Source organism: Homo sapiens, chromosome 18 (assembly GCF_000001405.40).
Source record: "Homo sapiens chromosome 18, GRCh38.p14 Primary Assembly".
Lineage (NCBI taxonomy): Eukaryota > Metazoa > Chordata > Mammalia > Primates > Hominidae > Homo > Homo sapiens.
Window position 1 is genome coordinate 23,181,176 of NC_000018.10, and position 13,488 is coordinate 23,194,663.

At 47.7% G+C, this 13,488-nt stretch overlaps 1 protein-coding gene across 4 annotated transcripts in view, besides 3 other annotated features; it reads left to right on the forward strand.

Moving 5' to 3' along the window:
- The window catches only part of CABLES1 (Cdk5 and Abl enzyme substrate 1), a 125,907-nt gene that overhangs the window by 46,612 nt on the left and 65,807 nt on the right, over positions 1–13,488 (forward strand). For all 4 annotated transcript variants that reach the window (NR_023359.2, NM_001256438.1, NM_001100619.3 and 1 more), the window contains exons 2-3: positions 7,663–7,734; positions 13,273–13,365. Coding sequence is in view for 3 of the 4 variants with exons in the window: in NM_001100619.3 (NP_001094089.1) it covers positions 7,663–7,734; positions 13,273–13,365 (165 nt within the window). In the remaining variant the exon portion in view is untranslated. The remainder of the gene's footprint in view (positions 1–7,662; positions 7,735–13,272; positions 13,366–13,488) is intronic.
- Positions 1,698–2,197: an enhancer, noted in NCBI's record as "H3K4me1 hESC enhancer chr18:20762837-20763336 (GRCh37/hg19 assembly coordinates)". NCBI's record gives its function as "activates a minimal SCP1, AML or CMV promoter by ChIP-STARR-seq in naive H9 embryonic stem cells {active_cell/tissue: H9 hESC(naive)}" and the evidence as "EXISTENCE:reporter gene assay evidence [ECO:0000049][PMID:30033119]".
- Positions 7,730–8,236: an enhancer, noted in NCBI's record as "H3K27ac-H3K4me1 hESC enhancer chr18:20768869-20769375 (GRCh37/hg19 assembly coordinates)". NCBI's record gives its function as "activates a minimal SCP1, AML or CMV promoter by ChIP-STARR-seq in naive H9 embryonic stem cells {active_cell/tissue: H9 hESC(naive)}" and the evidence as "EXISTENCE:reporter gene assay evidence [ECO:0000049][PMID:30033119]".
- Positions 13,076–13,276: a silencer, noted in NCBI's record as "peak3070 fragment used in MPRA reporter construct". NCBI's record gives its function as "represses an SCP1 promoter by STARR-seq MPRAs in K562 erythroleukemia cells {active_cell/tissue: K562}" and the evidence as "EXISTENCE:reporter gene assay evidence [ECO:0000049][PMID:32103011]".

The following is a 13,488-nucleotide window of genomic DNA, read 5'->3' on the forward strand; positions in this document are numbered from 1 at the left end:
AATGCATGTATTAAAGAAAGCGGCCCTAGGCCAGCCGCGGTGTAATCCCAGCTCACGCCTGTAATCCCAGCACTTTGGGAGGCCTCGGCGGGTGGATCACCTGAGGTCAGGTGTTCAGGACCAGACTGGCCAACATGGTGAAACCCCATCTCTACTAAAAGTACAAAAAAATTAGCCGGATGTGGTGGTATGCGCCTGTAGTCCCAGCTACTTGGGAGGCTGAGGCAGGAGAATTGCTTGAACCCGGGAGGTAGAGGTTGTGGTAAGCCAAGATCACACCATTGCACTCCAGCCTGGGCAACAAGAGCAAAGCTTCGTCTCAAAAAAAAAAAAAAAAAAAAAAAAAAAAAAAGATGCCCACTAATAATTGTGTATAGAAAAGCATTGAATGGAAGGTCAGAAGGTCAGGTGCTCTCTGGGAAAAGTCCAGGAATACCCACCTACCTGGTGAGGGGAATTTGTTCCTGTATTCAGCCAGCCATGATTGAGTACCTGCTGTTGGCCAAGCATGGTCCCTTCCTAGGAACACACAGGCTGTGACAGCATGGCCCCTCCCAAGCAGCTCACTTCTAGGGTGTTTCCATTTTGTTTGGGAGAGGGAGGTTGGTGAGTGAGAGAAAGACATAAGTACCAAAGCAAATAATGACAAGCTTTTGGGTGTCTTGTGACTGTGTTAATAAGTTGTTTCTATGCTTGGGGTTTATTTGGTCATAATAACTGTCTGGACAGATGTGAAGTAATCATGACCTCAGCTCCTTCCTCACCTGTGTACTTGAGGTATCCAAGACACTCTCACCTCTTCCACACCTGTGAAGAAGCAACTGTGCCATCCAGTGGCCCAGCGTGCAGCCAGGAAGGGGGGTACACCCATGGGGAACACTAGAGCCATTAAGGAAATTGCCTTTTTTGTGAGTAGAGAGGTGGTTGGCCCAGGTATTTACCCAAGTCGTTTTCTGCTCTCAGAGCTCATGTTTTGCTCTCAGAGAACACAGAACTGGTTCTTCACACCCATGTAATGTGCATATATTATACATATCATCCACCTGTTTATACTTGAAAGCCTTTTGGTCTTTTGCGGGCCTCAGTGCTCCAGGCTAACTAGCTCTCTTTCTTCTTGCTTGTTGAACCTTAAAAGTTCCTCATTCAAGGATAAAGGAGACCACCTATTATCTGGAGGTTGGTTATGATCATTTCCATCCCAAGTTTGCTGATGCAGGAAAGTAAGGTAAATAAGTGGAATGTTAGGAGAAGGTTCTCACCCGCCTTTGGCCTGCACAGAACACTGGAGCTATTCAATGGGACTCAACTGTACTTCTCACTAGAATCCCCCGGGAGTGTCTAAAACCCCGTTTATCCAGCCACACCCGGACCAGTAAATCAGAATCTCAAGGTGGGCTCAGGCTTTGGTGATTTTGTTGCTCCCTGGGGATTCTGATGTGCAGACAGCGTTGAGAGCATCAATCTACGCTACTTTCTCATTTCATACTGGAAGCAGACTGAGGCCAAGGGTCACCTTCCACGAAGTGGGCTGGTCCTAACTCTCGGGCCAGAGCTTTCCCCTGGGTGCCCACTGCCTCACGTTGTCCTTCGGACTGAGCTGCTGCCCCAGGTGACTGCATAGGGGATTGGCCTTGATCAGCTTGCCCCACCAGGCCCCACGATGACACTGCTGCACCCTCACTGGTTGGCAGGGACAGCAGTGAGGCGCTCACCTGTCTCTCAGCGCTTTCTTCAGGGCACTCTGCTTACCAGGCTCAGGAGAGAGGACACCTCCAACAGAGCTGAGGAAGGTACCTGGACCACACACAGCTCCATTTTGCCTCTCACTTTCCGGGGTCCTCAGAGTCGCTGCAAATCAGGATGACGACAGAGCATTAGTGAGGAGGGCCTTCGGGATGGTCAGGCCTCTGGGCCTGCGTCCCCTCATCAGTGTGGATGGTTGGCCTCTCTTCCTGGCCTGGAAATAGGTCCAATGACCCTTTTCTGCATAAAAGTCACTTTAGAAATACTGGCCCTCGGGCCTGCCTCTCCCAGTGCTTTGTCACTCCAGCCACAGGTTCTTCTGTGTACTTTCTTTCCCCTCTCTTCTTCCCCAAGTGACCTTTCCTTAAGCTTTCAGGGTAAGTGAACTTATTCTAACAGTACCCTTGTGACCAGCCCTGCGTCCCGGGAGTATACAGTGATTTGCACCCACGGAGGAACCGTTTTCCCTTCATGATGAGTGGATTAATTTGGTCCACGTAGGAATATCCAGATGTGCAGTCGTGTTGTCATGGATTATGACTTCCTTGCTTAGCATTCCAAGGATATTGTAAAACAGGCGTGGGTGCTTTCAGGAGGCTGCCTTACGCATGAGCATTAAGCATGAACTCCAAAGTGTGGCCAGTGTGGAAGGATCTAACTTGTAACTGTCAGACAAGTCTGGGAGCCCTGAGTGTACATTCAGTCTGAAGACTAGACATACACACTTCCATCTGATGATGTCAGTGCATATTACTCTTGCTTTGAACCCTGCCAGTCTCTTACCATATGTCTACTTGGTCAGCCTGCTATTTTGGTCCAAGGCTAAGTGTTCTTTGTCAGTCATTAAAATATGCAAAGACCTCTGCTTGTTAAGTCTATAATGATAAGGAGTTTGCATAGTAATGGACTTAATTTATGAGGGAAATTACAGAGTGAAAAGTGGCTGTTTAAGATTGGCCGCCCGCCCTGAGGCTTTTTGTTTATTACAGGCTTTCTGGGGTTAGAAGGTGAGGGAGAAGACACTACGACATACCTTGGGAGGATCCAGCAAGGTGTGGGGGTGGGGCAGAGATGAGCGCTGCTGAGTGACACTACCAGTTCACAGGGCAACCCTTGAGGCAGGGAACAGGTCCTCATCTTTGGCTGGAAGGGCAGGCATCCTTTGCTGTTTGCTGGTACCACAGGATGGTTTCTTTACAGTGACTGGTGGTAGTTCCAAGTTCTCTTCTTTGTCTCAGAATATACTGGTTGGTTCCATTCACAAAGAAGGGAAGTACATCTGCTGAAGTTAAAGGAACAGGTGGGCATTTGGGCGTGGATTTTTTCCCCTTTAAGGAGTCCTGATCAGAAGTGCCCATGCGTGCTAATGTGTGCCCTTGCATACTGGCACGTGTGTGTGTGTGTGTGTGTGTGTGTGTGTGTGTAGGTCCGTCTGAGTTCAGACTTCTATAATGAAGTACCAAAGACTGGATGGCTTATAAACAATAGAAATGTATTTTCTCGGCCGGGCATGGTAGCTCATGGCTATAATCCCAGCACTTTGGGAGGCCGAGGCAGGCGGATCACTTGAGACCAGTAGTTCGAGACCTGCCTGGCCAATGTGGCGAAACCCTGTCTCTACTAAAAATACAAAAATTAGCTGGGTGTGGTCGCGCGCACCTGTAATCCCAGCTACTCGAGAGGCTGAGGCACAAGAATTGATTGAGCCTGGGAGGCAGAGGTTGCAGTGAGCCAAGATTGTGCCACTGCACTCCATCCTGGGTGACAGAGCGAGACTCTGTCTCAGAAAAAAATAAATAAATAAAAAGTAAAGAAATGTATTTTCTCACAGGTCTGAAGGCTAGGTCACTATCTGGGTGCGAGCATGGTTGGGGTCAGATGAGGGCTCTTCCAGTTACAGATGACCAACTTGTAGTGTCCTCACATGGCAGAAAGGGAGCTAGAGAGCTCTCTGGGGTCCCCTTTACAAGGGCACTAATCCCATTCATGAGGGCTCCACTCTTATGACAGATCACTTCCCACAGACCCCACCACCTCATACTATCACAGTGGGGGTTATGATTTCAACACGTGAATTTTGAGGGGACACAGATGTTTAATCTGTAATAATGTGTGTGTGTGAATTCACACCTGTTCAGCTCCTGAGGGGAATTACCGAATATGCTGGGTTTTAGAAAAACCCTTATAACTGTAAAGAAAGGTATATTCTCATCTGGTTCTTTTCCAAATGAGCCTTTCTCGTTTCTGGTGCAGGAAGAGGTGGCTACGGCTTTGTGAGAGGGGAGTTATTGGGTCGTGTGCTTTTGTGGATGGGCCTGATTTTCTAGGGTGAAACACACTGGTGGATGTTGGAGGAGTCTGTGCTTCCTAGCAGGGCCTTCTGTGCTCACTGTGGGACTCAGCTGGAGTGTTCTCCACACCACAGCCCTGAAGGACGCAGGGGCTTCAGAGACTGTTAATGGGACTTCCTGGTGGCCGTCCCATGGATCCCCACGTGACTCTCAGCCCCTGAGGACAGGAGGCAAGCCTGGTTCAGCTGTGTGTTCCTGACAGGGCTCACGGTCACATTGTTGAGTGGGTGGGGGTGGATGCATGGAGAGGTGAACCTGCCTGTCTGGGCTCTGGGCTCTGCCAGAGCCTGGGCAGCATCTGTGCTGCCCGAAGAGCCCACCCAGGGCCTCCCCAGGGCTCCTTAGGGTACCTGAAGGAGGGCAGCCTTCAGCCCTTCTTCTGCATGATCACCTCACTTGCCTGGGTGCAGATTGAACAAAACATCAATTGCCTATTTACTGGTCACCTGAAAATGCTCTTCTACAAAGGAAGGCCAAAGTGTGACAGAACGTGTCGAGATTCTCAGGATCCGAAGCCTATACATTTATTTCTGCCTGTGGAAGTTATCCCTAATGACAATTTGGATGTGCATACTTAATTTAAGTAAATACTTAAATGAGTGTTTTACTTTGGATTTAAAAGCTCAGAGCATCATACAGAGATAAACAGTAAATCTTTTCATCACTGCCTTCTGGCTGTAGGGAGACCTGAGAGCAGTGCAAGGAGACATGGGGGCCACTAATTTTATAGGTGGCCAGCACATCAGTGAGTATGACTTGTGCTTCTCAGTGCACCCCACTGTGTACATGCACAGAGTTAGTTGTGCTTTGAAGTGGGTATAGGTGTGGAAGGAACATGTACGCATCTTGGGTGGGCTCAGGCACAAGGCATTTTGGGGTGACCCTGCCACTGGCAAGGCCTTGAGTGGGGGCCAGAGCCTAGAGTTGGGACACTCAGCCTGCTCCTGGTCAGCTGAGCTGGGGTGCAGGTCAGGGTGCAGCCTCAGTGAAGGAAACTGGAGTGTCAATCAAAAGCCCAGTAGCTCCCATTCATTAAGAACTGCCTTGGGCCTGGGACTTCACATGTGTCCCTTTCTCAGTTAATTGTTGTTTCCCATTTCATAGATGAACAAACTGAGGGTCAAGGATTAAGGAGCTTGCTTTCTTTTCTCTTCTTTTTTTTTTTTTTTCCCCAAGACGGAGTTTTGCTCTTGTTGCCCAGGCTGGAGTGCAGTGGCTTGATCTCGGCTCACTGCAACCTCTGCCTCCTGGGTTCAAGCGATTCTCCTGCCTCAGCCTCCCGAGTAGCTGGGATTACAAGCATGCACCACCACACCTGGCTAATTTTGTATTTTCAGTAGAGATGGGTCACCATGTTGGCCATGCTGGTCTCAAACTCCTGATCTCAGGTGATCCACCCACCTCGGCCTCCCAAAGTGCTGGGATTACAGGTGTGAGCCACCATGCCCAGCCGGATTAAGGAGCTTTCTCAGACCCCACAGCCTTTGGACCCCAGGATTGCAATTTCAGTGTCTGATTCTAGGCCCTAGGCATTCTCCTGTGTAGAATTACACCACCCTGGATGGGTAACATGGGGTTTCTGCTGCTGAGATCTGCAATGGGCAGATGTGAGTCTCCCCCAGTCCAGCCTGGGACTCAGCACCTGGAGAGAGGCTAGGCTCGCTGCCTGCTTTCCTAGGATTAACTGGGATTTCAGAGGGCTGTGTCTCAACCCATAGCACAGGCACTTCAGAGCTGCAGCTGCAAGTGCTGTCACAGGGGTCTAGGCAAGCTCTGTCCCCTGAGTTACGGGGCTGTGCGGGGAAGTCCTGTCTACTCATGAACTGGCTACCTGTAAAATCAGTTCCCCACCTCCTCAGCTCGCCTCTGCACTGCTCTCAGGTAAGACTGGTGCCTCCTCCATAGCTCTGGCTGACTCTTAGAAATCTGGCAATATTACTGAAATGGAAATTCACTGTTAGTTAATTGCAGAGTGAAACTACAGTTTCTGTAGAAAGTCCGGTATGTCATGAACACAGAGGGCGATGTGTGTGCTTGGTTCACACACATTGATGAGTGAGGAGCTGAGAGTGTTCTATGTTCTGCTGTTTTACAGTTGGAGAAGAGACAAGGAGGCTGTATGATGAGTATTTTTTTGAGACGGAGTCTCGCTCTGTCTCCAGGCTGGAGTCCAGTGGCACGATCTCAGCTCACTGCAACCTCTGCCTCCCGGGTTCACGCCATTCTCCTGCCTCAGCCTCCCAAGTAGCTGGGACTACAGGCGCCCGCCACCACACCCGGCTAATTTTTGTATTTTTAGTAAAGACAGGGTTTCACCATGTTGGCCAGGATGGTCTCAAATTCCAGACCTCAGGTGATCAGCCTGCCTCGGCCTCCCAAAGTGCTGGGATTACAGGCGTGAGCCACCGTGCCTGGCCACAAGTATTTTTTTTTTAAAGGATTTGAGCATCAAAAAATTATGAAAGGTGGAAAATTGATGAAGCTGTTGAATAGTTTGCTACAAAAATGACCTTTCTGATTGTCTTAGAAAAGCCAAACAAGCCAAAGGTATCAGAGTAGTTGGTCAGAAAAAGTACACACAAAATTAGAAACAAAAACAAAAAAACACCAAAAAGTCATTTCATTCTTTGTTCATTAGGGCAAATTAGAACATGGTTATGACTGCATGTTCCTAGGCTATGTTTTGCCAAATGTAGTAAAAAATAGACTTATCTTAATATTTTTAGTTCCGTTTTAAGGAACAACCCAAACTTTTTCAATCCATCCCTGCTCCGCCAAATCATTTACTATCAAATGATGGTCTTTGTTCAAGTAGATTTATGTAAACTTACCACCACCCTACCCTGCTCCCTGTACCTGATATTCTTAGTTAACTAGGACCTGTTCTTATTTCAGCCTAGCAAAAGAAACTGGTAGACTAGAGAGGTTTTAGCAGGCAGTTTGCAATTCCTTAGCAGCCCAGAAGAGTTAATGTTTTGCGTAATCATGCCATATATTTATTCTTTCTACCCGGTCTATGAGAAACTCTCCCAAAGGAATAATTTTTTTCTTGTTCCTAGTTGCTTTTGAAATCATGGCCATCCAGGGAGCATAACCTTTTTATTGCATCCTAATGATTTTGAAGTTGTTTTTAATAGGGTTTCAGATTTAATATTTATCAGTTACCGGGTTCAAATCAGTGATAGTGGAATACTTAACAGTATTAGCTAATGCCTTAGAAAAGCTGCACACAGCGCTCAAGTTATCCTGTATATTACAAGAGGCACCTTGTCTTTGTGTGTGTGTGTGTGTGTGTGTCCTTGGGGGAAGTGTCAGCATCAAAAGGATCAGTCACTTCCTTAATCATCACAAAGAGGCCCTCTAACCAGGGAGAATGTTCAGGATTCAGCCAGCAAGATGGGCCTGGCGTGCAGGGTGGGAACATGGCAGCCTCTTAGAGACAGCTTTTGTCTGATCTTTTCTTAACGGACTTCATGTTTTTGTTTTAGGGTAGTTTTAGATTTGCACAAATGTCTGATCAGTTCTGCAATGCAGTTTTAACTCCCAGATTTTTTCCTTCTTTCTGCAGACGGCGCCTCATCTCCCAGAGATCTTCCTTGGAGACCCTGGAAGATATTGAGGAGAACGCCCCTCTCCGGAGGTAATTTTCTGTTTCATTTATGTATATGTAAACAGTACACCATGACAGCCAGAGATTGATTTTGGTTTTTTAACTTCTTGATCTATAGAATTAAATTTAAAAATAACCATCTGAACTCCAGGGACTATGGGACATCTCCTAGTGTCTAACCCACCTCTGAAGACCACTAGAACTAAACAACGTTAAATCCAATTAGGTGTTGGAGTAGCCCAATTTGCATGGAGATTTGGGTGCTTTTCTTTCCGTGGCGCCTCTTCATTTTGTAAACTGCTGCTTAATGGAACAAGAGCCCAGCATTGTCCCGGCCTATCCCCCAGGTGCAGTCACACAGTAGGTACAGTCCTGGACTTCATTCTCAGCAGGAGGGGCAACAAGAACTCCTCAGGAGGTAACCACGATGTCGCTCCCTGGCTAGGTGCTGGGAAGCCCAATTAGGATAGTTGTGAGTGCTCTCTGGGGTCTGAAAGTGTTCTGTTTCTCCCTTGGGATTAGAAGAGTGCTTGCAAGGCGTCTTTTTGGGTGATGGCCATTGCTGAGCTGTGCTGTGCTGTGCCGGTGACTGACAGGTTCCTCTCCTCTAACCCAGCCAGGCCCTCATGGACGAGAGTGCACTCAGGTGTACTGCACCCCCTTCCATCCTCACTGCAGCCCTGAGCTGGGTGGGGCAGCATGTGGGAGTGAGCCAGGAAGATGGGGCACAGGGGCTTCCCGGGGACTGCAGGGCAGGCGGCAGCAGGGAGGGCATCGGGAGGAGGTGAGCTCCTGTGGACTTCCATCAGCTCCTCCTCGAACCCGCATCTGCACCGTGCGTGCCTTGGCCAGGCCAGGACTTGGGAGCGCCTGGCTCTTCCTTCTGAGCCTGGCAGGGTGCTGCTGTAGGAGATGGCCTCCCCCTGGATCTGGCTCCTTCCCCACCTGAAGCTTCACTCCCAGGGCAGAGCCCATGTCTGTAGGCTCCGCCTGCATGAAGAACAGAGGGCAGAGTGAGCACAGACAGCCTGGGGTCAGAGGGGAAGTGTCCGGCAACTGTGAACTTTGTCACTGACATCATCCCAAAGAGAAAGGGCTGAATAGTCCCATCTCCACTTTTGGAGTCTTTTTCAAAGCGTGGGTAACCTCCAGGTGCCTCCTAGGATGTGTGGTATGTGGCTGTGTGGCAAACGCGGCCTGGGAACAAGTGTTACTCTGTGAGGAGCAGTTCAGTGGGAGAAGGCCATTTCCCTGCAGGAGTCATACAGAAAGCTACGCTGAAAGTCAAATGAGGGAGCTGGCCTTGGTCCACATACTCAGCGAGCATGCAGGAGAGGTGTTCGCAGGCGCACTGAGTGGCTGGCTTTGGTGTTAGAGTGAGTGACATCGCGATCTGACTGAGGTGCTCCCTCACTCCTGCCACAGGAAAATCCATGAATAACGTTGAGAAGCCCCTGGAGTTTCGAGAGGCTACTAGAAGCCATGGTCCTTGGAACAACGTGGCCACTGTGAGCCGAAGGAAACCGGGTGACTCGGGGTACCGGCTACAGAGGGCTCTCCCCTCTTCAGGAATTCCCAGGCAGGGCTGTTGAGCCTCGGGATGCAGTGTCCTTGAGTCTCGAGGTGTCGAGGAGAGGCTGGAGGAGGACGTGGGTTCTGCGTTCCTGGTTGGTGCGCTGTCACCCCTCTTCACGGAATCCACCCAGACTGGTCCTCAGCCTTGTGGTAGCACAAATGAATGCAGTAAAAATGCTTGTTGGCCTCAACTGTGACTTGTACCAGCGTTCACAGAATACTGCACTGAACCTCAAATCTTGTTATTATAAAATTCTAAGAATGTCAGAAATCAGAAGAGTTTTAGAAATCAAGTGTTTATTCCACTAAAGGACCTTTTTTTGATTTAAAAAAGTTCTCAGCCGGGTGCAGTGGCTCACACCTATCATCCTAGCACTTGGGGAGGTGGAGGCAGGAAGATTGCTTAGTCTAGGAGTTCAAGACCAGCCTGGGCAATGTAGTGAGACCCCCATGTCTACAATCAATCAGTCAACACAAAAATACATAAATAAATAAGGTTCTCATATTGGCTGGGCACGGTGGCTCACACCTGTAACCCCAGCACTTTGAGAGGTTGAGGCAGAGGGGTTGCTTGAGGTTAGGAGTTTGAGATCATCCTGGGCAATGTAGTGAGACCCCATCTCTACAAAAAAAAAAAAAAAAAAAAATTAACCAGGCACATGGATGTGCACCTGTAGTTCCAGCTACTCAGGAGGCTGAGGCGACAGGATCGCTTGAACCCAGGAGTTCAAGACTTAAATGAGCTATGCTCAACACTGCACTCTAGCCTGGAGTTTCTTAAAAAAGAAAACTTAAAAAAAAGAGAACTTAAAAAGCATAACTGTTCTCATATTTACTTAGACATTCACTTATTCCTAGGAGTTATATTAGCATGATGTAGAAGAAGAGACATTAGTTTGAGAGCCTGGGAACCTGAGTTCTTAGCCTGACTCCAACTGGGTATGTAGCATTGTAAATTGACTTAGTGTCTCTGGGGCCTCAGTTTTCCCATCTATAAAATGGGAAGACCAATTGGCTGATCGCTGAAGCCTTCTCTGGTCTGTGAAATGGTAACACCAATAATGATGCTGAAGTATTTTGGGAACTGTGGGGGTGGAAGGCTATTAGCCCAACTTGCTTTTAAGCTTAGCAGAAGAACAAATGGCTCCAAGGAATCTATTAAACCTTTTGCATAATTAAGTATATCCTGTAATCAGTGCTAACAAGAAAGAGCTAATCTTTCATTAAATTAGTTTTTAATTTAATTCTATGCTAATTTAATTTTGCATCACTTAAAATGTATGTTTTTAAATGGATGTTTACACGCTGTTGCAGGCGGCTGTGAAATTAATTCATTCTTCGCTTAACCTGCCAACCTGAGCGCCCGGTATTCCAGTTCCTTGGCAATTGTTGCCAACGCCACAATTCTCTTAAAGCATTTCTTAGATTCCCTGGTGATTTGGTTGAATGCTTAAAAAAAAAAAAAAAAAAAAAAAAAAAAAAAAAAAGGCAACACAACAAACAGCTTGCTTAATGAAGGGCTAGATTAGTAAGGTGTATGTGCAGTTAGAATTGGGTGCTGATATGGAAATAAAACATCTTGTTAAGTTACCCTGTTAAAAGTCCTACTTTCCTCTAGCACATCGTGGTTTGTTAGTGGATTTCCTGTATCTACCTGTAACTCCAAGAACTGAGCATGCGTCATGAGAGGACTTGGACTGAGAAGTTTTGCACCTGCCTAGTGGTTACCTGGTGTCCAAAAATAAGGAGTTAAGCCGTCTCTACTAGTTGTCAAGAAAAACCTCTATTTGTTTGCAGCAAACGTGGCTGCCATCGGCACCTGCCCTGGTTTTCCAGACTGGGTGGATGGATGCTGGTGGCCGCAGCTGTTAAAGTGATCACAGCCTCAGCTCCTTCCTTTGCTGGTACAGACAGCCACCTGTGGCCCTTTTGTGGCTTTCCACTTCCAGAAGAAGGCTGAGGAATCTGGGGCCCCTCTTTCTGCAGAGAGCAACTCAGGCCATCCTTCGTCTGTGCTGGCGTCAGTCCCAGCTTCCTGCAGCTGGGAGGTGGGAGGAAGGAGCCAGAGTCTGCTGAGGTGGCAGGATCTGCGAGCCGCCTGAACCCGCACACTGTCTAGCTCTTGGCCTGCTGCCCTCAGATTGACTGGCCCAGGAAGCTCTGCTCCTGGGAAAGGAAGCCAGGGAAGTGGTATAAGGATGCTTCTGAACCCTTGGCCCTATCTAGAAACCACTTTATGCTTTCAGGGATTCTCCTCTTTCCAGTGACTCCATGTTTCAAGAACCTTCTTTGCGTGTGTGTGACAGGTGGGAACTTTGAGTGGCCTGCAGATTCGAGCAGTCATTCTGGAGGAAGAAATGAGGCTGTTTGGAGTTCTGGGTCTGCTCTCAGAGAGCAAAAGGCAGAGTGAGGCCCTATCTCCTTGAACCTTAGCCAATTAAATCTGGGTTTAGTGGCCCAGGCGCAGTGGCTCACACCTATAATCCCAGCACTTTGGGAGGCTGAGGTGGGAGGATTTTGGGGCTGCAGTGAGCTATGATGGCACCACTGCATTCCAGCCTGGGCGACAGAGCAAGGCCTTGTCTTTCTTTTTAAAAAATTAAAAAATCTGGGTTTGGAGGCCTAGAGTTGGGTGGGGGAGTGTCAATCCCAACCCCACTCTAACCCCTCCTGAAAGCCACAGGAAGCATCTACTAAATGTCCTCAAACAGGGTTCTGCAAGCCTTTAAAAGAATCTTTCTTTTTTTTTTTTTTCCAGACTGTGTCTCACTCTGTCACCCAGGCTGGAGCACAGTGGCACGATCTTGGCTCATTGCAACCTCGGCCTCCCGGGTTGAAGCGATTCTCCTGCCTCAGCCTCCTGAGTAGCTGGGATTACAGGCACCTGCCACCGCGCCAGGCTGATTTTTGTATTTTTAGTAGAGACGGGGTTTCACCATATTGGCCAGGCTGGTCTGGAACTCCTGACCTCAGTTGATCCACCCTCCTCGGCCTCCCAAAGTGCTGTGATTACAGGCGTGAGCCACCACGCCCCAGCCCAGAATCTTTCTTTAGAGTCAAGAATCAGGTCACAGGCACCCATGTCCCATGGCAGGAGCTGGCTCCTGTGGCCTAGGTCAGAAAGGTTTTTCGGTAGCAAAACCCAAAATCGAAAAGTCACAGCCCCTTTTATCTAGAATAAACTGAGACTCTTGTTTGTTGAGCATTTTGCTTTTCTGTCGTTGTGATTGTGGTTTTGTAACTTAAAATTTGCCAGGTGAAAACACTACACACAAATAAGGTCTCCTTGGCCTATGGTCTATTTTGCCAGTCCTATAGTACAGGCAAATGCTATATACTCCAGCAAAATAAAAATTTTAAAAAAACTTGAATCCAAGCCATTTTAGCTCAACAAATGTTTATTTAAAATTTATCTTAAAAACAAAACAAAACAAAAACAGCAACTAGTTGGGTCTCTGATTTCTCATTCAGTGTAAAGCTGTGACCTCCCAGGCATAGCAGGTCAAGTTGAAACTTAAGACAGCTGTCCAGGTAATTCAGGCCAAAATCTTGTTGCAGAAGAAAAATGATTCAGGCTTGTTTTTGAACTGAATTTTCCGATGTTTCCCTACCCCCTTTAAATGTACAGTTTTTGGTTCCCTTCCCCTTCGTTGATACAGCAGGATTCTTTTTAAGACAACAATAAAGAATAATGTCTTTGGAATCTGCATAGGTTTTTGTTTTTTTTAATGCAGGGGACAATATTCTTGATTAGTTGGCTTTTTAGAGACCCATGTAAAATAATAACAGTATTATCAAGAAGTTGTCTATTATTGGGCCTTTTTTAAGCTTCCTTGCTTCCAGCCGTGTTGTCTTCATTATCCTCGCGGACTCCTGCCTGCTTTGGGGTGACTCAAGCCATTTGTCTGGTCCTTCCTTCCTGTCTTTATGTGGAGACGTCTCAGCTGTCCAGCAGGCAACTGACTGTGTTTTTGAAATGACTTTATTTTTCAGATGTCGAACTCTCTCAGGTTCACCCAGACCAAAGAATTTTAAGAAGATTCATTTTATCAAGAACATGCGGCAACACGATACCAGGAATGGCAGGTACTACATTCACACAGAAGCGGCTGCCAGCACCAGTGGGTGGAGACAGGGACTGGAGGAGGGGACAGTTTTAGTGGCCAAAACTCAGCAAACGCAAGCCCACACTTTTAAGATGAGCAGGAT